General features: G+C 37.8%; 1 long non-coding RNA gene across 4 annotated transcripts, besides 1 other annotated feature; it reads left to right on the forward strand.

Annotated features, from left to right (window-relative positions):
- Positions 1 to 9,595: 9,595 nt before the first annotated feature.
- LOC105373349 (uncharacterized) lies at positions 9,596 to 19,349 on the forward strand. Of its 4 annotated transcripts, none has more exons than XR_001755971.2 (3): positions 9,596 to 9,852; positions 16,063 to 16,242; positions 18,096 to 18,848. It is a non-coding gene; the product is annotated as an uncharacterized LOC105373349 (long non-coding RNA). The 4 variants fall into 4 exon arrangements; XR_938516.2 differs by lacking the exon at positions 9,596 to 9,852 and adding an exon at positions 11,329 to 11,396 and having other exon boundaries at positions 18,096 to 19,349; XR_007068345.1 differs by lacking the exon at positions 9,596 to 9,852 and adding an exon at positions 11,329 to 11,396 and having other exon boundaries at positions 18,201 to 18,848.
- Positions 17,372 to 17,550: a silencer, noted in NCBI's record as "fragment chrX:146965512-146965690 (GRCh37/hg19 assembly coordinates)". NCBI's record gives its function as "represses an EF-1alpha promoter that drives an FKBP-Casp9 reporter gene in an ReSE screen in K562 erythroleukemia cells {active_cell/tissue: K562}" and the evidence as "EXISTENCE:reporter gene assay evidence [ECO:0000049][PMID:32094911]".
- Positions 19,350 to 20,861: the final 1,512 nt, after the last annotated feature.

Genomic DNA, 20,861 nt, shown 5'->3' on the forward strand with positions numbered 1-20,861 from the left:
CCCAGTGGTCTGAACTTGAGTTCCTGCAAACTTCGCACAGAGGGCAACTGTGCTCTAGGTCTCCATGAAAACTTGAAAGGCCACCAAGGCCATAAATATTGCAACACTTAGGCGAGTCCTAGGGATGAAATGTGTCCAGAGACAGTAGACTGGGGAAGGTGCACACGACCTACCAAGACACCAGCCAGGGCAGCTAAAAGAGTGCTGGCATCACCCCTCCCCTAACCACAGGCTGCACAGCTCTCAGCCACAAAAGAGACCTCTTCCTTCTGCTTGAGGAGAGGAGAGAGAAGAGTGGGGAGAACTATGCCTTGCATCTTGGATACCAACACAGTCACAGCAGGATAGGGCACTGGACAAAGTCATGAAGCCCCTTTTCTAGGCCCTAGCTCCCAGATGATATTTCTAGATATGTCCTGGGCCAGAAGAAACCAGATGCCTTGAAGGGAAAAACCCAGCCCTGGCAGCAGTCATCACTTGGTAACTGAAGGGCCCTTGGGCCCTGAACAACCAGCAGCAACACCAGGTATTACACCAAGGGCCTTGGGTGAGATTCTGAAATTTGCTGGCTTCAGGTGAGACTCAGCACATTACCAGATGTGGTGGCTATGGCATGAAACTCCTTCTGCTTGAGAAAAGCAGAGGGAAGAGTAAAGGGGACTTTGTCTTGCACCTTCGTTACCAGCACGGCCACAGGGGAATAGAGCACCAAGTGGGCTCTTAGGGTCCTTGTATTCAGGACTTCACTCTTGGATGGCATCTCTGGACCTGTCCTGGGCCAGAGGTAAAACCACTGCCTTGAACAGTGAGTCCCAGGTCATGCAACATTCACTGCCCTGAAGAGTGAGTCCCAGGTCATGCAACATTCACCGCCCTGAATAGTGAGTCCCAGGTCATGCAACATTCACCACAAGCTTGGGCCTTAAGGGAATATCAGCAGTAGTCTGGCAAAACTCCCCATGACCTATGGTGGTGCCTATGGGGTGAGGCTTCTCTGCCTCTGGAAAGAGGAGGGAATAGTGGGAAGGACTGCATCTTGTCGTTTGAGTGCCAGCTCAGACACAGTACAATGGAGCACCAGGTAGAATTCTAAGGTTTTTGACTCTAGTCTTTGTCTCCTAGACAGCACCTCTGGAACCACTCAGGGCCTGGGGGAACTTGCTGCCCTGAATGGAAGTTCACAGATGTAGCCGACTTTTTCATCAGCTGATTGTAGAACTGCAGGGCCTTGAGCAAAAATAGGCAGTAGCCAGGGAGTGCTTACAGCAGGCCTTTGGTGAGACCCAGTGCTGTGCTGGCTTCAGGCCTGATCCAGCATAGTCATAGTGGTGGTACCCACAGGGGTGCTTGTAGCACTCCACCCCCAGCTTCAAGTGGCTCAGAACAGAGAGAGAGACTCTGTTTGGGAGAAAGTAAGGGAAGAGAACAGGAGGCTCTGCTGGGTAATTCAGAGAATTCTCTTGGATCTTGTCTAAGACCATTAAGGTGGTATCTCTACAAGTCTGAAACAACCACAGCATTACTGGGTTTGGGGTGCCCCCTAAAGTAGATACTGCTTAGATCACAACACCCAAGTTCTTTCAAATATCTGGAAAGACTTCTCAAGAAGGACAGGTACAAATAAGCCCAGACAGCAAAGACTACAATAAATACCTAATTCTTTAATGCCCAGACACCGAAGAACATCTACTAGCATCAGCACCAAAAAGGGAAACATAACCTCAACAAATGAACTAAACAAGGCACGAGGGACTAATCATGGAGAAACAGAGATATGTGACCTTTCAGATGAAGAATTCAGAATAGGTCTCTTGAGGAAACTAAAATAAATTCAAGATAACACAGAGAAGAAATTCAGAATTCCATTAGATAAATTTAACAAAGAGATTGACATAATTTAAAAGAATAAAGCAGAAATTCTGGAGATGAATAATGCAATGGATACAGTCTTTGAAAAGCAGAGTTGATGAAACAGAATAAAGAATTAATGACCATGAGGACAGGCTATTTGAAAATACACAATAAGACCAGACAAAAGAAAAAGGAATGAAAAACAATGAAGCAAATAGCCTTAAAAGGGCAAATCTAACAGTTATTTGCCTTTAAAAGGAGGTATAGAAAGAGATAGGTGTAGAAACGTTATTCAAAGAGTAATAACCGAGAACTTTCCAAACATAAAGAAATACATCAATCTCCAAATACAAGAAAGTTATAGAACACCAAGTAGATTTAACCCAAAGAAAACTATCTCGAAGCATTTAATAATCAAACTCCCAAAGATCAGAGATAAAGAAAAGATCCAATCCCAGCACTTTGGGAGGCCGAGATGGGCGGATCACGAGATCAGGAGATTGAGACCATCTTCGCTAACACAGTGAAACCCCGTCTGTACTAAAAATACAAAAAATTAGCTGGGCATGGTGGCAGGCACCTGTAGTCCCAGCTACTCGGGAGGCTGAGGCAGGAGAATGGCATGAACCCGGGAGGCAGAGCTTGCAGTAAGCCGAGATCGTGCCACTGCACTCCAGCCTGGGCGACAGAGCAAGACTCCATCTCAAAAAAAAAAAAAAAAAAAAAAAAAAAAAAAAAAAATCCAAAAAGTAGCAAGAGAGAAGAAACAGATAACATAAAATGGAGCTCCAATATGTCTGGCAGCAGACTTTTCAGTGGAAACCTTACAGGACAGGAGAGAGTGGCATGACATATTTAAGGTTCTGAAGGAAAAAATATTTTACCTTAGAATAGTACATTCAGCAAAAAAATATTCTTCAAACCTGAAGGAGAAATAAAGATTTTCCCAGACAAACAAACCCTGAGGGACTTAGAGGGACTTAATCAACACCAGACCTATTTTACAATAAATGCTAGAGGGAGTACTTCAATCAGAAATAAAAGGATATTAATACACAATAAGAAATTATCTGAAGTATAAAACTTCCTGGTAATAGTAAGTACACAGAAAAACATAAAATATTACAGCACTGTAACTATGGGGTGTAAACTACTCTTATCCTAAGTAGAAAGATTATGTGATGTCCCAATTAAAAATAATAACTACAAGTTTTCAAAACATAGTACAAGAAGATGTAAATGGAAACAAAAGAAAAGTGTAAAGAAAAGGGGGACAAAGTTAAGACACAGAGTTTTTATTAGTTGTTTTTTTGCTTGTTTGTTTATGCAAATAGTGTTATGTTGTTATCAGGTTAAAATAGTGGCTTATAAGATAGTATTTGCAAGCCTCATGCTAACCTCAAGCCAAAAATCATACAATGGAAGTAAGGAAAATAAAAAGCAAGAAACTAAGTCATATCACCAGAGAAAATCACCTTCACTAGAGGAAGACATGAAGGAAAGAAAGAAGAAAGAGAAGACTACAAAGCAACCAGAAAACAAATGATGAAATAGCAGGATTATGTCCTTATTTACTAATTGTAACATCTAATGTAAATGGACTAAACTCTCCAATCAAAAGACAGACTGGCTGAATGGATGAAAAAAACAAGACCCATTGATCTGTTGCCTACAAGTAACATATTTCACCTATAAAGACACATATAGACTGAAAATAAAGGATGGAAAAAGATATTCCATGCCAATGGAAACCAAAAAGGAGCAGGAGTACCTATATTATATCAGACAAAATAGATTTCAAGATTTTAATACAAAAAGTGTAAGAAGAGACAAAGAAGGTCACTATATAATGATAAAGGGGTCAATTCAACAAGAGGATATAACAATAATAAGTATACATGCACCCAACACTGGAGCACCCTGATATATAAAGGAAATATTATTAGAGCTAAAGAGAGAGAGATGGACCCCTATGCAATAATAGATTGCAACTTCAACACTCCACTTTCAACATTGGACTAATCTTCCAGACAGAAAATCAACAAAGAAACATTGGACTTAATCTGACCTATAGAATAAATGGATCTAATAGATATTTACAGAACATTTCACCTAAGAGCTGCAGAATGCACACTCTTCTCCTCAGCACATAGATCATTCTCAAGGATAGAATATATGTTAGGTCACAAAACAAGTCTTAAAACATTCAAAATAATTGAAATAATATCAGGCATCTTTAGGCATCTTTTCTGACCACAATGGAATAAAACTAGAAATTAATAGGAATTTAGGAAACTATACAAATACATGGAAATTAAACAATATGCTCCTGAATGACCAGTGGGTCAATGAAGAAATTAAGAAGGAAATTGAAAAATTTCTTGAAAGAAACGGTACTGGAAACATGACATACAAAAACCTACGGGATATACCAAAAGCAGTACTAAAAGGGAAGTTTTCACTATAAGTGCCCACATCAAAAAAAGAGGAAGACGTTCAAATAAACAATCTAATGATACATCTTAAAGAACTAGAAAAGCAAGATCAAACCAAACCCAAAATTAGTAGAAGAAAAGAAATAATCAAGATCAGAGCAAAAATACATGAATTTGAAATGAAGAAAACAATAAAAGAGATCAATGAAACAAAAAGATGGTTTTTGAAAAGTTAAAAAAAAATTGACAGACCTTTAACAAGACTAACTGAAAAAAAAAGAGAGAGGCTCAAATAAATAGAAACAGAGATGAAAAAGGAGACATGAAAACTGATACTGCTGAAATTCAAAGGATCATTAGTGGCTACTATGAGCAAATATATGCCAATAAACTGGAAAATATAGGAGAAATAGACAAATATCTAGACACATACAACCTACCAAGATTGACTCCTGAAGAAATCCAAGACCCGGACAGACCAATAACAAGTAACGTGATCAAAGTGGCAATAAAATTTCTCCCAGTAAAGAAAAGCCTGAAACCCAATGACTTCGCTGTTGAATTCCACCAAACATTTAACAAAGAACTAATACCAATCCTACTCAAACTATTCTGAAAAATACAGGAGGAGGGAATCATCCCAAACACATTCTATGAGGCCAGTATTACCCTGATGCCAAAACCAGACAAACACACATGAAAATGAAAAGTACAGGTCAGTATCTCTGAGGAATATTGATACAAAAATCCTGACAAAATACTAGCTAACCAAATTTAATAATAAATTAAAAGAATCCTTCATCAGAACAAAGCCCTGGGATGCAAGGATGGTTCAACATATGCAAATCAGTATGATACATCATATAAACAGAATTAATGATGGAAACCGTATGATCATTTTGATTGATGCTGAAAAAACATTTGATAAAATTAGACATCCCTTCATGGTAAAAACTCTCAAAAAACTGTGGATAGTAGGAACATACCTCTGTATAATAAAAGCCATCTACAACAGACCCACAGCTAGTATCATACTGAATGGGGAAAAACTGAATGCCTTGCCTCTCAGGTCTGGAATACAAGAATGCCTACTTTCACCACTGTTATTCCACATAGTACTGGAAGTCCCAGCTACAGCAATCTAAGAGAACACATAAAGGGCATCCAAATTGGAAAGGGAGAAGTCAAATAATCCTTATTTGCAGGTGATATTATCTTATATTTGGAGAAACCTAAAGACTGCAACAAAAAACTATGAGAAGTGATAAATTCAGTAAAGTCGCAGAATACACATCAACATACAAAAATCAGTAGCATTTCTATATGCCAACAGGGAACAAACTGGAAAAGAAATAAAAAAGTAATCCCATTTACAATAGCCACAAATAAAATTAAATACCTAGGAATTAATCAAAACATGCACAATCTCTACAATGAAAACTATAAAACACTGATGAAAGAAATTGAAGCAGACACCAAAATGTTGAAAAATTTTCCACGTTCATGTATTGGAAGAATCAATATTGTTAAAATGCCCATACTACCCAAGGCAATTTACAGATTCAATGAAATCCCTATCAAAACACCAATGACATTCTTCCCAGAGATAGAAAAAAATGATCTTAAGATTTATATGGAACCACAAAAGACCCAGAATAGCCAAAACTATCCTAAGCAGAAAGAACAAAACTGCAGGTATCATTTTATTTAACTTAAAATTATATTGCAGAGCTGTAGTAACCAAAACAGCATGGTATCAGCATAAAATCAAACACACAGAACAATGGAACAGACTAGAGAACCTAGAAACAAATCCACAGACTTCCAGTGAACTCATTTGCAACAAAGGTGCCAAGAACATACACTGGGGAAGAGACAGTTTCTTCAATAAATGGTGCTGGGAAAACTGGATATCCATCTGCAGAAGAATGAATATCCTTCATTCTTCTAGATAGATAGATAGTCTATCTCTTGTCACATTCTATCACTTGCCACATTCAAAAATCAAATCAAAATGGATTAAACACTTAAATCTAACACCTCAAACAATGGAACTATTGCAAGAAAACATTGGGGAAAATCTCCAAGACATTGGTCTGATCAAAAATTTCTTGAGCAGTACCCCATAAGCACAGGCAGCCAAAGCAAAAATGAACAAATGGGATCTCAAGTTATAAAGCTTCTACACAGCAAAGGATACAATCAACAAAGTGAAGAGATGACCCACAGAACAAGAGAAAATATTTGCAAACTACTCATCTGACAAGGGATTCATAACCAGAATGTATAAGGAACACAAACAGCTCTATAGGAAGAAATCTAATAATCAAATTAAAAGATGGGCAAAAGATTTGAACAGACATTTCTCGAAAGAAGACATATGAGTGGCAAACAGGAATATTAAAAGGTGTTCAACATCATTGATCATCAGAGAAATGCAAATCAAAACCACAACAAGCTATCATCTCATGCCAGTTAAAATGGCTTAAATCCAAAAAACCGGCAATAGCAAATTCTGGAGAGGATGTGGAGAAAAGAAAACACTTGTACACTGTTCCCCCTCTTGGTGGTGGGAATGGAGATTACTACAACCACTATGGAGAACAGTTTGGAGGTTCCTCGACAAACTAAAAATTGAGCTATCGTATGATCCAGCAATCCCATTGCTGGGTATATACCCAAAAGAAATAAATCAGTATATTTAAAAGACATCTTCACTCCCATGTTTGTTTCCGTACCATTCACAACAGCTAAGATTTGAAAGCAACCTAAGTGTCCATCAACAGATGAATGCTTAAAGAAAATGTGCTACTCATACACAGTGGAGTATGGAATACTGTTCAGCCAGAAACAGCCAGAATGAGATCCTGTCATCTGCAACAACATGGATGGAACTGGAGATAATTATGCTAAGTGAAAGAATGAATAAGACATACCATTTGATCCCACAACAAGGTGACTATAGTCAATAATAACTGTACATTTCAAAATAACTAATAGAGTGTAATTGGATTGTTTGTAACACAAAGGATAAATGCTTGAGGGGATGGATAACCGATTCTCCATGATGTGATTATTTCACATTGCATACCTGTATCAAAACATCTGATGTATTCCACAAATATATACACCTATTATGTACTCACAAAATTAAAAATTGAAAAAAAATTAAAATTTATCAAAAAAGGGGGACAAGGGGAGGGATAGCTTTAGGACACATACCTAATGCATACTGGGCTTGAAACCTAGATGATGGGTTGACGGGTACAGCAAACCACCATGGCACATGTATACCCAGGTAACAAACCTGCACATTCTGCACATGTATCCCAGAACTTAAAGTAAAATAAACAGAAAAATTATCAAAAAATAAATTTCACAAATAGTTTGCAATCTCTTAAATTTTTTAAACATTATTTTGTAATCATTATAATGTACTCTTTATAGTCTGTGTGTGTGTGTACATATATATATATTCTCCTTAGAGCATATTTTCAGAATTAAAAGAGAAAAATGTTTTCAATTACTATTGGCAAACAATGAGTTTGTGTGGGACTCAGATTAGTGTGAGTTTTTACTTTGGTGTTTTTCTTTTGGAAATTGAATATATTAATTTTCATTTACAGAGAAAGGATGGAAGTAGGGAGAGAAGAAGGAGAAGAAGGGAAGAAAAGGAAATACATAGGAAAAGGGAAGAATAACTAGTACTTGAATGATTTGTTAATTATAAGCATAATTTTAAATTTTCAGGTGCAAAAGTAGAAGGCAAAATATTTTGCATAATTATGAATCTATCAAGCCAGATTCTGAAATGGATGTGTTCTAAGTTTGGTATAAACAGATTAACTCAAGGGTATGTATTTTACCACGCTTAATTATCACAAAAATGTCCAGTTTTTTTTAATCTTGTTTAATCTTGTCTGAGAGCCACACTTATTTAATGTAAAGGTTGAAAATACCAGCCACCTAATAAAATAACATCTCCTTATAATCAGTAAGGATCTCTTCAGATGAAACCAGTTTTAAGCATATAAAATACAATATAAGGAAATGTCATTTGTATAAATATCCAATCCATTAGCATAATAAAACTTCTAAGTCTAATTACAATCTAGTATTTATAAAAATAATTTGTATTTTAATATTTAAAAGGCAATCAAATTTACTTCTCTTCACAATCAGTTAAGAGTGAACTACGGTAATTCAGACATACTGGCTTATGATATGGTTTGGCTGTGTCCCCACCCAAATCTCATTTTGAATTGTAGTTCCCATAATCCCCATCGTGGGAAGGAACCAGTGGTAGGTAATTGAATCATGGGGGGTTTTACCCCCATGTTGTTCTCGTGATAGTGAGTTCTCACGAGATCTGATGGTTTTATAAGGGGCTTTTCCCCCCTTTTGCTCAGCACTTCAACTTCTTGCCATCATGTGAAGAATGACATGTTTATTTCCCCTTCCTCCATGATTGTAAATTTCCTGAGGCCTTCCCAGCCATGCTGAACTGTGAGTCAATTAAACATTTTTCCTTTATAAATTACCCAGTCTCAGGTATGTCTTTATTATCAGCATTAGAACAGACTAATACAGCTTATTCAACATGTAACAAACTGCTACTTTCCCTGTCTTAATTTTTATTTTATCAAAGTAATGAATGCAAATGGTACCAAAAAGTACAGAAAATCCTATGATGAAAGGCCCAGACTCTCTCCAACCTCACTCTTCCGCAACCCTGAACCCACTCTCTAAAGCAGTCAATTTTTACTGTTTTGTACTTTTAGCTCTCTGTAAGCATGGATGATGTGCTTAGACCGCTATTTCATGATTTGTATCTGTTGAGACTCTCATAGTCCTGATATGAAAAACAAGCACTTAATTCACACAATCCCTCTGGTCCTCTCTCATCTTCCTGATTTTTGATCTTCGTTATTTTTAATTTTCCCCTGGTTGCCTAGGTAACTTTAAATACTTGTGAAATGTGATATACAAAATGGTATCACTCTGCTTCAGAGCTCTAAAATGGAGTCAGAAAGCCATTCTAAAAAGGACTACCTGCACAGCTTGCAACCTTGCAAAAAACAAAAACAAAACAGAAACTTGCCTTGAACTTTTGAACTGGGCCAAACTGCAATGACCACAGCATCTTGGAAAACAGCCAAATTTCAACAGCACTACAACTCCTGAACAGCAACAACCAATGAACTATGGACTCACGTACCAAGCCAGCCACCTGCACCAATGATAATTCTTTCAAAACAACTTGCACAATCAGCATTCTTTTAAAAATCTCTACTCTCCTTTTCCTTTTCCTCTTTGGAACACAATTTCACTTCTAGCCCAATCTGTGTCTCCTGAATTGCAATTCCTAAGACCCCAATAAACACTTTGTCTTACTGCTTTACTGTCTGGTCTTTTGCCTCTTCTTGGTTGACATTAAATGGTGTCAGAATAGAGTGGGGTACAACGCAACTTTCCCCTGCGTTCTGGCACTGCCATGGATTCAAGCATGGTACCTGTAGGATCCCTTTGTGTTCCATCGTCTCCCCAACAGCCCAGGACCTCATTGGTGAGTCCTCTTGTGTCCCTGAACCTCCCTCCTCGGTTAAGTTCAGCCTTTTATTGAGTGTCTTTTGTTGCTGGCTGTCGACAAAGGAATTTTTCCCTTTTTTGTTAGTACTCATAGAGACGTTTGCTTCTAAGGGTATAGGTTATGTCATTCCCTTTTGGAAGCCCTGCTGGGTTTTTGTACAAAAAAAAAATTATGATCCTTCATTTTATAAATTTCTTTCTTGATGGATCAACATTACTAAAAATGATTTGGAATTATAATGGCCAACCTGAGGATTTTTTGATCTCCTGAAACTTGTTTTCCTCCATGGACAAATTAGAAGGGCTAAAAAGAAATATTAAAAGATTAAACAGCCCAAATGGCACATCTACTTTAATTTGGTATCATGCGGCAGCTAAAATACTCCAGGAATGTAAACTAGTGTCCCTAAGTGGTAACAATACCAAATGAGCTCAAAGACCCTAAACTGGGGGAAAAAAAAGTAGAAGCTTCTATTAATAATAACAAAACAAATCTGGAATTGTGCATGCCTCTGTTTGTCCTTGTCCTGTGTTGCCTCCCGCTCCTAGTGAACCCCTTCCATCCCGCTACTACCCTCTACACCCTCTTGCTTATGTGGTAAAAATCTATTCTAAACTGGAAAAATTATCTCCTGGGCTCCATGGAGGGGCTTATTGGAGGGAGTCACTATTGGAATAGGAACACCATTACAGATTCTAATCATCAGTGGCCAAAAGATGAATCCTTTCAATTAGAAAGACTCCTTTATTTGAAAAATAGTTCAGAGATTTCTCATTCTAAATAATTATTTGTATTTATGGGAGGATTAAAAAAATTTAAGACACATAATAATGTCATGGCTAGCCTTACAAATTCTGACAAAATTAAAGAGCAAAGATCTGATCTCAAACAAAGTCAAAATCCTTTGTATGCTCACACTGCCTGCTTTGGGTTCCCTGTGGGATTTACACAGAACGGGCATTCCATCCTATGGTCTAGTGGCTAGGATTTGGCACTTTTACTGCTTTTGCCCTGGTTTAATTCCCAATCAGGAAACCATTCCCTGCTGATGTAAGTCTTTTAAATCAGGAGAAACATTTACTTAAAAACTCATTTGATATTTGTGTGACTCAACATTTTGGGGTACTAATTTGTTATTGATCCTTTTTCCTTCTATGGACAACTTTTGATTTTCTGTCTTACCAACTGATATGGTTTTGGTATTTGTTCCCTCCAAATATATTTCAAAATTTGATCCCCAATATTGGAGATAGATCCTGGTGGGAGGTATTTGGATCATAAAGGCAGGTCCCTCATGAATTGCTTGGTGTGTCTTCACAGTAATGAGTGATTTCACGTTCTATTAGTTTACGTGAGAGCTAGTTGTTTAAAAGAGCGTGGCACACCTCCCCTCTCTTGCTCCCTATTTCATCATGTGACACGCCTTTTCCCTCTTCACTTTCCATCATAATTGTAAGCTTCCTAAGGTTCTTACCAGAAGCAGATGCTGGTGCCATGCTTCTTGTACAGCCTACAGAACTGTGAGATAAACAAACTGCTTTTCTTTATGAATTACCTAACCTCGGGTATTCCTTTATAGCAATGCAAAATAGACTAAGACACTAACTGACTTTTAAAATCTTTTATATATGGGGCACAAGGGATGGTTGACTTTTGTGTGTAGATGGTCTGCTGAGAAGCTGAGATCCTAGAGAATTTGGCAGGAAAGAAATATGGGTTGTACTTTATTTGTGGCTGGCAAAATTTTATTTAGCTGCCTTTGAGATGCCTCTGGATCTTGTGAGGACTGCTTTGCACCTCTTTGGAGATGTCTCACGCATTCTTATTTAAGTCATAACCTTAGTTAAGGGGTTTTGGTTTTGGTGAGTTATTTGAAAGATAACTTCGGGGGGGAAGTTTGAAAGCCAAAAATATTGGCTGTTTGTCCCAGCTAAAATTTCATCATGAGAGATTTAAAATTTTTTTTTTTTTTTTAAAAAAAGCTCTATGGTCAGAAGTCAGCTTAATTAAAAGCTGATATTCAGACTATAATACTTTTTTAAAAAATAAAAGTTCCTTCTACTTTTTCTCTTTTGGATTCTGCTAGTGGGATTTACTTTTCAGTCAACTGAAACCCCCTTTTAATTATGTGATTGGTTATTCTGTTTCCTTTTTATCTTTTTCACATGATTTTTGCTAAGAAAAATGTAAATCTTCATTGGCCCTTCTGGAAAGCTTAAAATATCCAAATTGGTACATCTAAGACTTGTTATTTCATTTTCTTTCACTTCTACTCCTCCTTCTTTTTTGCCATCTTCAATTCCACATAAAGAAATCTAGACAGGACTTCTAGCAGCTCTAAGACCCCTTAAGGAACACAGAAAAAGTGCCACACACCCCCTTTTCGGGGTCATATATTTTTCTCATGGATCCCCAAGAGTTGTGGACAGGTTCCTCTCAGTTCTAAGGCTCTGCTGTTTTGCATTAAATTCCGTGATCTCTCTAACTTCTGGGGGTACCAGGAATTACTTCGTACTGTGAGAGAAAACTTAATCTTTGTGTGTGTGATAGCTAGTGGGTCACCAGCAAAGGCTGCAATTCTGGGGGGTGGCTGAGAGCAGTTACAATGGATGGTTATTACTGTATGGGGCTATTCATTTGTTTGTGCATTTAGATCAGAAAAGTGAGGTTTGGAAACTTGGAGGCTATGGCTACATCACATCATCAAGGGATAAGACTCCCATGGGGGATGAACTGATCACAGAGTGGGCTGATTGACATTGGGTTACCTTTGCCGTGAGGTGCCGTGAGGTACCCTGTGGAAGTGTTGCACAGCTTGGTCCTGTGGCATTTCCTTTTTTTTTTTAAGGTCCCAGGATTCACTGTAAAAAATGAGGTTCTTGATTTCTGAGGATCTAGACGATTTGCCTTCCTACTGCTTCTGCTTTTCACTATATAAGTGAAAAGACCTCAAAAGCTGCAAATGTTTTGTTTGCGCTATTCATTAATGGGCTCTACCCTGAGGTCAGTGGTCCAGTTTTAAAATGGAGACTAAATTAAAAGCCACCTATCTAACTAAAATTGGTCTCCTTATAAAATCCTCTGGTGATTCTCAATGATTTTGTGTTACCTTAGTATTCATTTTAATTTTCCTCTAACATACCCAAATTCTTTCTTCAAAAAGCTTAAATTCTCTCTTTGTGCATTGAGATGTAAATTTGCAACCCTGGTTTCTCTAAAACTCAATAAGCACTTCAACCATGCGGGACAAATAAACTTTATTTAAAAATATTTTTTATTTTTTATTCTTTTAGAGACAGGGTCTCACTCTGTCACCCAGGCTGGAGTGCAATGTTATGATCCTAGCTCAGGGTCACCTCAAATTCCTGGGCTGAAACTATCCTCCCACCTCAGCTTCCCAAGTAGCTGGGACTCCAGGCACACACCGCCATGCCTAACTAATTTCTTTATTTTTTATGTTTTAGTATAGACGGGGTCTTGCCTTGTTGCCCAGGCTAGTATTGAACTCCTGGCTTCAAGTGAACCCCCTCCTGCGTGAGGCATTGCACCCAGCCCAGACAATCTTTAACTTGTTTCATTTACAGAGGCACAAATTAATCTAACTGTCCTTTTAAACTAGTGAGTTTTATCTGTCTCATGACTAAAATTTTAAAATAAAAGCAAATATAGTTTACATATTTTCCCTACCCAAATCTTATGTTGAATTGTAATCCCGAATGTTGGAATTGGGGCCTGCTGGGTGGTGTTCGGGTCATGGGGGTAGATCTCTCATGGCTTGATGCTGTCCTCAGGATAGTGACTGAGTTTTCCTGTAATCTAGTTGGTTAAAGTGTGTGGCACCTCCCCCACTCTCTCTCTTGCTCCTGCTTTGCCATGTGAAATGCCTGCTCCCATTTTGCTCTCTGCCATGAGTAAAAGCTTCCTGAGGCCTCACGAGAGGCTGAGCAGATGCCAGCACTATGCTTCCTGTACAGCCTGCAGAATCATGAGCCAATGAAATCTCTTTTCTTTATAAATTACCCAGTCTCAAGTATTTCGTTATAAAACAGCCTAGCAAAAAAGCTATAAAATCTTTATTTGTGTTTGTATATTATGTATAAATGTGTATATGTCTGTGTTTGTATATTGTCTACATGGTACTGAGTTGACTTATAAATAAATGAGTACTCATAAATTAAATAATCTCAAAATTTTTAAATTCATATGACTTTAGTAACCTTTGATATAAAAAGCAGATTTTTAAATTGTTGGTAAAATAAAATAGAAATGTCTTCAGAGTTTTAGACTTCTTTATCTTAATCTACTGGTCAAACAAATGTATGTTGTTTCTGCTAAATGTTTTAAGGTCAAAAAACTTGTTTCTGTGATATTTTTGATAATTGCTTGATTTGTCTTTAAGCATATGTCTTTGGTTTTGAGCCTTTAGATTCCAGAGTCTAGACAGGTGGTCATGGTGAGGCTTCCACAGCACCTAGACCACCAGCTGCAGGGTAGAGTCAAGCCCGATACATCCTCCCTGGCCCAGCTCTGCCTCCTGGCCATGCTGGAAGGGGATAGATCCTCCATTAACTGTCTTCGCAGCTCTGTCATTTGTCCTGGGCTTTGCATTTGATACATAACAATTAAAATTGCTTTACTTCCTAGCTTTCTCACTCGAAATTGGGGTTACTAGAGTTAAAATTGTAGATAATATATGTAATTAAAACTACTAGATATAAGAGAAATAATTCTATATAAAGAGTGTACAAAGAATGTAGGATGTGTTTTGGGTGAGGAAGGTTATAAGAAAAACATGAAGCCATATGCTGTGGCTCATGCCTGTAATCCCAGCACTTTGGGAGGCTGAGGCAGGAGGACTGCTTGAGCCCAGGAGTTCACGACTAGCCTGGGCAACATAGGGAGACCCCATTTCTACACACACACAACTTGAGAATGTGGTTTTTGTTAAAGGAAAAGTATTTTTTTTCTAGTTTAGAGGTTATTTGAAGGCTCCTTTAAGTTGAAAGGATAAAAAAGAATGACAGGAAAAACTGAATGGATATAAAAAATTGGGGAAAGAAAGAGAATTGAAAAAATTGTGAGAGATTATAAAATGTTCATGCAAATCTTTTCTGTAGTCAAAGCTGATTGAGATTAGATGGATTTGTTTATATTTTATTAAATTAACTTTAGTGTTAATAATACACTGATGAAAAGTACAATTTGGTTTTCTCTTTTGAACAAGATTTTCATGTAGTACTAATAAGAAATGGTAAAATATTTGTTCACCTTTTCAGTAAAAAAGGAAGAAGACTTTGCCTCATGCTGTCTTTATTAGGTCTTTTGATTGTTTGGAAAACTTGATCTCCTCTCTATCAAATAGTAAAGGGTTTTTTTTCACTTTTTGAAATCTTTTAATTATCATTTTGACTAAATGAATGACTAATATTTTATAGTGACTTGTGATCTTATTTTGATATCAAGTGTTTTAAACCTTTAATATTTGACAAACATCCCAAAATCAAATTTCAAATTCTAAATTAAGTGTTTTTTAAGCTTGAACTAAATATTTGGACATTCCAAAAAGAGCCCCTGGAAGTCCAAGAGAGACATATTAGGCTTATTTGGTATGTTAAAATTATATGGGAAGCATTGTCAAATAAAAAGTGATGTCTAACTTTCTTTGAGTTATATTCATATGGATATGTTATTAATGTATTCCAAAATTGTATGAGATTCCTAAAATATTATATATCTTGGTATATTCAGTAAATTGCTTAATTCTGATGCTCTTTTTCTAAAAGCTCTCTGTTCATTCTAAAGTGATGTGTCTTCAAGGAAGTTCATGGGAAAGACTGATAGGTAATCTGAAATACAGTCCTCTGCTTATGACTTTGAGATTACACAATTGGACTGGGGGGTAGAAAGTTAAAAAGAAAACTCTAATGAAAAATTAGACATAAAATTGGAAAATTGCTAACCTAACATCAAGTAGAACAAGAACATGAGACTAAAGTGATGAAGGGCTGAAATGATTTTTCATGACTTTTTGCTTAAACATGGATGATTCTTTTTCTGTTTTGTTTTCTAGAATCAAGAAACCTTTTTCCCTCTGAAGCTATTCATAGCTTAGAGTAATTGGGTGAAATATAGTTTTGTAAGAAAATGGAAACATTTACCTCATAGGAATGTTTTCTTCTTTAACAGGACACAATTGAAAACACTGGTTATATTACAAAAGCTTTGACTGGTAATTTTGTGTCATATTTTCAAATGTGACCAGGCTGCTTTGAGGAATTGCAGTTTACTTTAAAGCCAACAGACTTGGAAAAAGACTGGCCGGGTACCATATCTACACTGTTCCCTTACAGGGTTCCTGACCTTGTGGTAAGTAAAAGTTGTCACTTTCTGACAGAATAAGCTACCTCAGATATTTTGGGGACCTCAAGAAGAGAGAAATTCACACAGGTATTACAAGCCCAGTCTGAAGATGAATCCTTCGCTTAGTGTCCTAGCCTCAAGAGGCTTTTAAAAGTCTATTCTGGGATTTCTTATTTAAAAGTTCCAGCAAGGCCAACTAAAAAATAGCCTATATGGCCGATCACTACTCTTACTGCAAACAATCAGGCAAAGTATACTAAGACTAAAAGTTATTTTGCAAATAAATTGGTCCTCCTATGTTTCAGCTTTGGTAGAAATGGGAGACTAAAGAGAGATACATTATTTTTCAGAAGAAAACTATAGTACACGTTATTAGATTCTAGCCTTGTCCTTTGTTTGTGAGTTTTTATTATTTGATTACAACAATTTGGACTGAATCCTGAATTCTTTCCTAGCTACAAATCTCCAAACTAACATTTTCATATCTTTCCATTTTTCTGACTTGGACTCAGTGAAATTGCAGCTTGCTCCTGAGGCCCTGCAAGCTGAAGTTCACATGTAAACAACCTTGTGATACACAAACTACAGACCAGAAAAATGTGACAGATTGCCACTGCCTACTTCCACTTTAACTGAAGATGGTTTGAGTCTAACATCTAGCACTTCAACTGATTGCCCCCCAAACTCTAAAGAAACTGGTTTAAAAAGTGTTCCAAACCGGTGAAACCCCGTCTCTACTAAAAATACAAAAAATTAGCCGGACGTGGTGGTGGGCGCCTGTAGTCCCAGCTACTCGGGAGGCTGAGGCAGGAGAATGGCGTGAACCCGGGAGGCGGAGCTTGCAGTGAGCCGAGATCGCGCCACTGCACTCCGGCCTGGGTGACAGAGCGAGACTCCGTCTCAAAAAAAAAAAAAAAAAAAAAAAAAAAAAAAAGTGTTCCAAACATCTGGGAGGCTGAGGCGGGCGGATCACGAGGTCAGGAGATTTGAGACCATCCTTGCTAATCGCTGAAACCCCGTCCCTACTAAAAATACAAAAAATTAGCTGGGCGTGGCCGGGCGCAGTGGCTCACGCCTGTAATCCCAGCACTTTGGGAGGCTGAGGCGGGAGGATCACGAGGTCAGGAGATCGAGACCGTTCTGGCTAACACGGTGAAACCCCGTCTCTACTAAAAATGCAAAAAATTAGCCGGGCGTGGTTGCAGGCGCCTGTAGTCCCAGCTACTAGGGAGGCTGAGGCGGGAGAATGGCGTGAACCCGGGAGGCGGAGCTTGCAGTGAGCAGAGACCGCGCCACTGCACTCCAGCCTGGGCGACAGAGCGAGACTCCGTCTCAAAAAGAAAAAGAAAAAAAAAAAAGGGTTCCAAACATTAACCTTTCTTCTTCTTCAGTTTGAGAGAGCCTGACTGCAACACCGTCTCCTGAAATGAGACACAACTATTTAATTCACTGGCCTATTCTCAGAAATAGACCAGTTTAGTGGTATCCTTTGCCACTCAGCTATAAACTCAATTTTTCTCTCCACAGCCACCAACTCAGCTTTTAGTGTGTAAAACGTCCAGGGAAGTTTCAGGAAAGAGAATGTTGGGCTGCAGAACATGATTTTCCAAAATATGGCACTTTGGCATGCTGAATGCTTTTGAAAATTGAAAGGCATCAGAAATAGGACGTTAGGCTAGCAATTTTATAAGTCCTCAGAATCAAAGTCCATCTAACCTTGTCTTGTTCCTCCCACTCCATGGCCAAGGAGGTACTCTCTCTAGAATTTCCTTCCAAGTAGCTAGAATTACAGGTGTGCCCCACCATGCCTTGTAAACTTCCCTTTTATCCTATCCCTGAAATCTCACAATCTATTTCAGAAAAGAAAACTGAGTAATGACCTACAGACATGGTTAATCAGTTATACCCTTCTCCTGACATACAGCTAATCACCATAGACTAATGCAGACCTCCTTATGAAACAGGCGTTTCTACCTCCAAGGGAAAAAGATAACAAATCTTTGGCTGACCAACTGATGTTTATCAGCAATGCTTCCTCACATCAAATCTTTATCAAAATGAAGAAATGTGAAATGTGATATACAAAACAGTATCACTTGGTTCAGAGCTCTAAAATGGAGTCAAGAAGCCACTCTATTACTACCTACACAACATGAAACCCTGCAGGAAAAAAAAAAAGGAACAGGAACTTGCCTTGAACCTTTGAACTGGGCTAAACTACAATGACCACATCTTAGAAAGCAGCTGAATTTCACCAGCACTGCAACTCCTGCATAGCAACAACCAATGTACCATGGACTTATGTACTAAGCCAGCCACCTCCACCAATGATAATTCTTTCAAAACAACTTGTGCAATCACTCTCGGCATCCTTTGAAAAATTCCTACTCTCCTTCCTGTCTTTGGAAAACAATTTGGCTCTTAGCCAAATCCGTGTCTCCCAAATTGCAACTTTTAAGGCCTCAAATGCCTAGTCTTACTGCATTGCACTCTGGTGTTTTGCCCCTTCTTACTTGACATATTATACTTACATCTCCATTTCTAGTTGTGTTGATTTTTTTATTTTTTTATTTTTATTTTTATTTTTGGATAGTGTCTCACTCTGTCACCCAGGCTGGAGTACAGTGATGCTGTCAGGGCTCACTGCAGTCTTGACCACCTGGGTTCAAGTGATCCTCCCGCCTCAGCCTCCCATGTAGCTGGGACTACAGGCATGCACCACCATGCCTGGCTAGTTTTCTTACTTTTGGTAGACACATGGTTTCACCATGTTGCCCAGGCTGGTCACAAACTTCTGGGTTCAAGTGATCCACCTGCCTTGGCCTCCCGAAGTGCTTGTATTACAGGTGTAAGCCACTGTGCCTGGCCTTGTATCAACTTTTTGATAGTATCTCTTGACAGAATGTAAATGTGAGTAATACAGACTCAGCATGGTAGAGAAATGATATATGAAGGAGTGGTATTACAGAGACAGGATAGATTATTCGATAAATTCGGCTCTGGGACAATTGGATATCAAACCATATGCCCTATTCAAAAATCAGTTGTTGGTGGATCAAAATTTTATTTTAAAACTTTATTTTTTAAATAAATTTTTGTTTTATTTTATCATATATATGTGTGTGTGTGTATATATATAAGCATCTGCATGGAATTTTTCCCATCTTTTTAAGTGTTTGAGGGTACACAGTAGATATATATATATTTATGGGGTACATAAAATATTTTCTACAGGCATGCGATGCAAAATAGTCACATCAGAGTGAATGGGGTAGCCATCCCCCCAGGCACTTATTCTTTGTATTATAAACAATCCAATTGTACTCTTTTAGTTATTTTGAAATATAGAACTTAATTATTTTTGACTACAGTCACCCTGTAGTGGTAGCAAAATACTAAGTCTTATTCATTCTTTCAAACTATTTTTGTACCTTTTAACCATGCCCAACTCCCGCCTGCCCAGGACCCCACTACCCTTTGCAGCCTCTGGTAGCCATCCTTCTACTCTCTATGTCCATAAGTTCACCTGTTTTGATTTTTAGTTCCCACAAATAAGTGAGAACATGCAAAATTTTTCTTTCTCTGCCTGCCTTATTTCACTTAACATCATGACCTCAAGTTCCATCCATGTTGTTGCCAATTACAGGATCTCATTCCTTTTTTATGGCTGCACAGTACTCCATTGCTTATATGTGCCATATTTTCTTTATCCATTTATCTGTTGATGGAGACTTAGGTTGCTTCCAAAGCTTGACTGTTATGAATAGTGCTGCAATAAACATGGAGTGCAGATATAACCTTGATACACTGATTTCCATTCTTTTGTGTATATACCCAGGGGTGGGTGTATATACCCAGAGTGAAATTCCGTCTCGGAAAAAAAAAAAAAAAAAAAAAAAAAGAGTTCTTTTGTGACCTAAATATGGTCTATCCTTGAGAAAATCTATGTGCTGAGGAAAGATGGTGTATTTTACAGATGTTGGATGAAATGTTCTGTAAATATGTATTAGGTTCATTTGGTCTACAGTTCAGATTCATTCTGATGTTTCTTTATTCACTTTCTGTTTGGAAGATCTGTCCAGTGCTGACAGTTGGGTATTAAAGTCTCCAGCTATTATTGTACTGGGGTCTATTTTCTCTCCTTAGCTCTAATACTATTTGCCTTACATATCTGGGTGCCCCAGTGTTGGGTGCACATATATTTACAATTGCTATATCCCATTGCTGAATTGGCCCCTTTATCATTAAATACTGTCCTTATCTCTTCATATAGTTTTTGTTTTGAAATATATTTTTTTCTGATGTAAGTATAGCTACTCTTGCTCTTTCTTGGTTTCCACTTGCATGCAATTTCTTTCTCCATCCCTTTATTTTCAGTCTGTGTGTGTCTTTATAGGTGAAATGTGTTTCTTATAGGCAACCAATCATTGTGTCTTGTTTTCATTTTTTTTTAATCCATTCAGCCACTCTATTGGAGTGTTTAGCCCATTTACATTCAATGTCATTATTGGTAAGTAATGACTTCTGCCTTTTTGTTATTTGTTTTCTGGTGGTTTTGTGGTCTTCTCTTCATTCTTCCCTTCCTTCCTGTATTCTATTCAGGAAAGACGATTTTCTCTGGTGGT

The sequence above is a fragment of the Homo sapiens genome, chromosome X (genome assembly GCF_000001405.40).
Source record: "Homo sapiens chromosome X, GRCh38.p14 Primary Assembly".
NCBI lineage: Eukaryota > Metazoa > Chordata > Mammalia > Primates > Hominidae > Homo > Homo sapiens.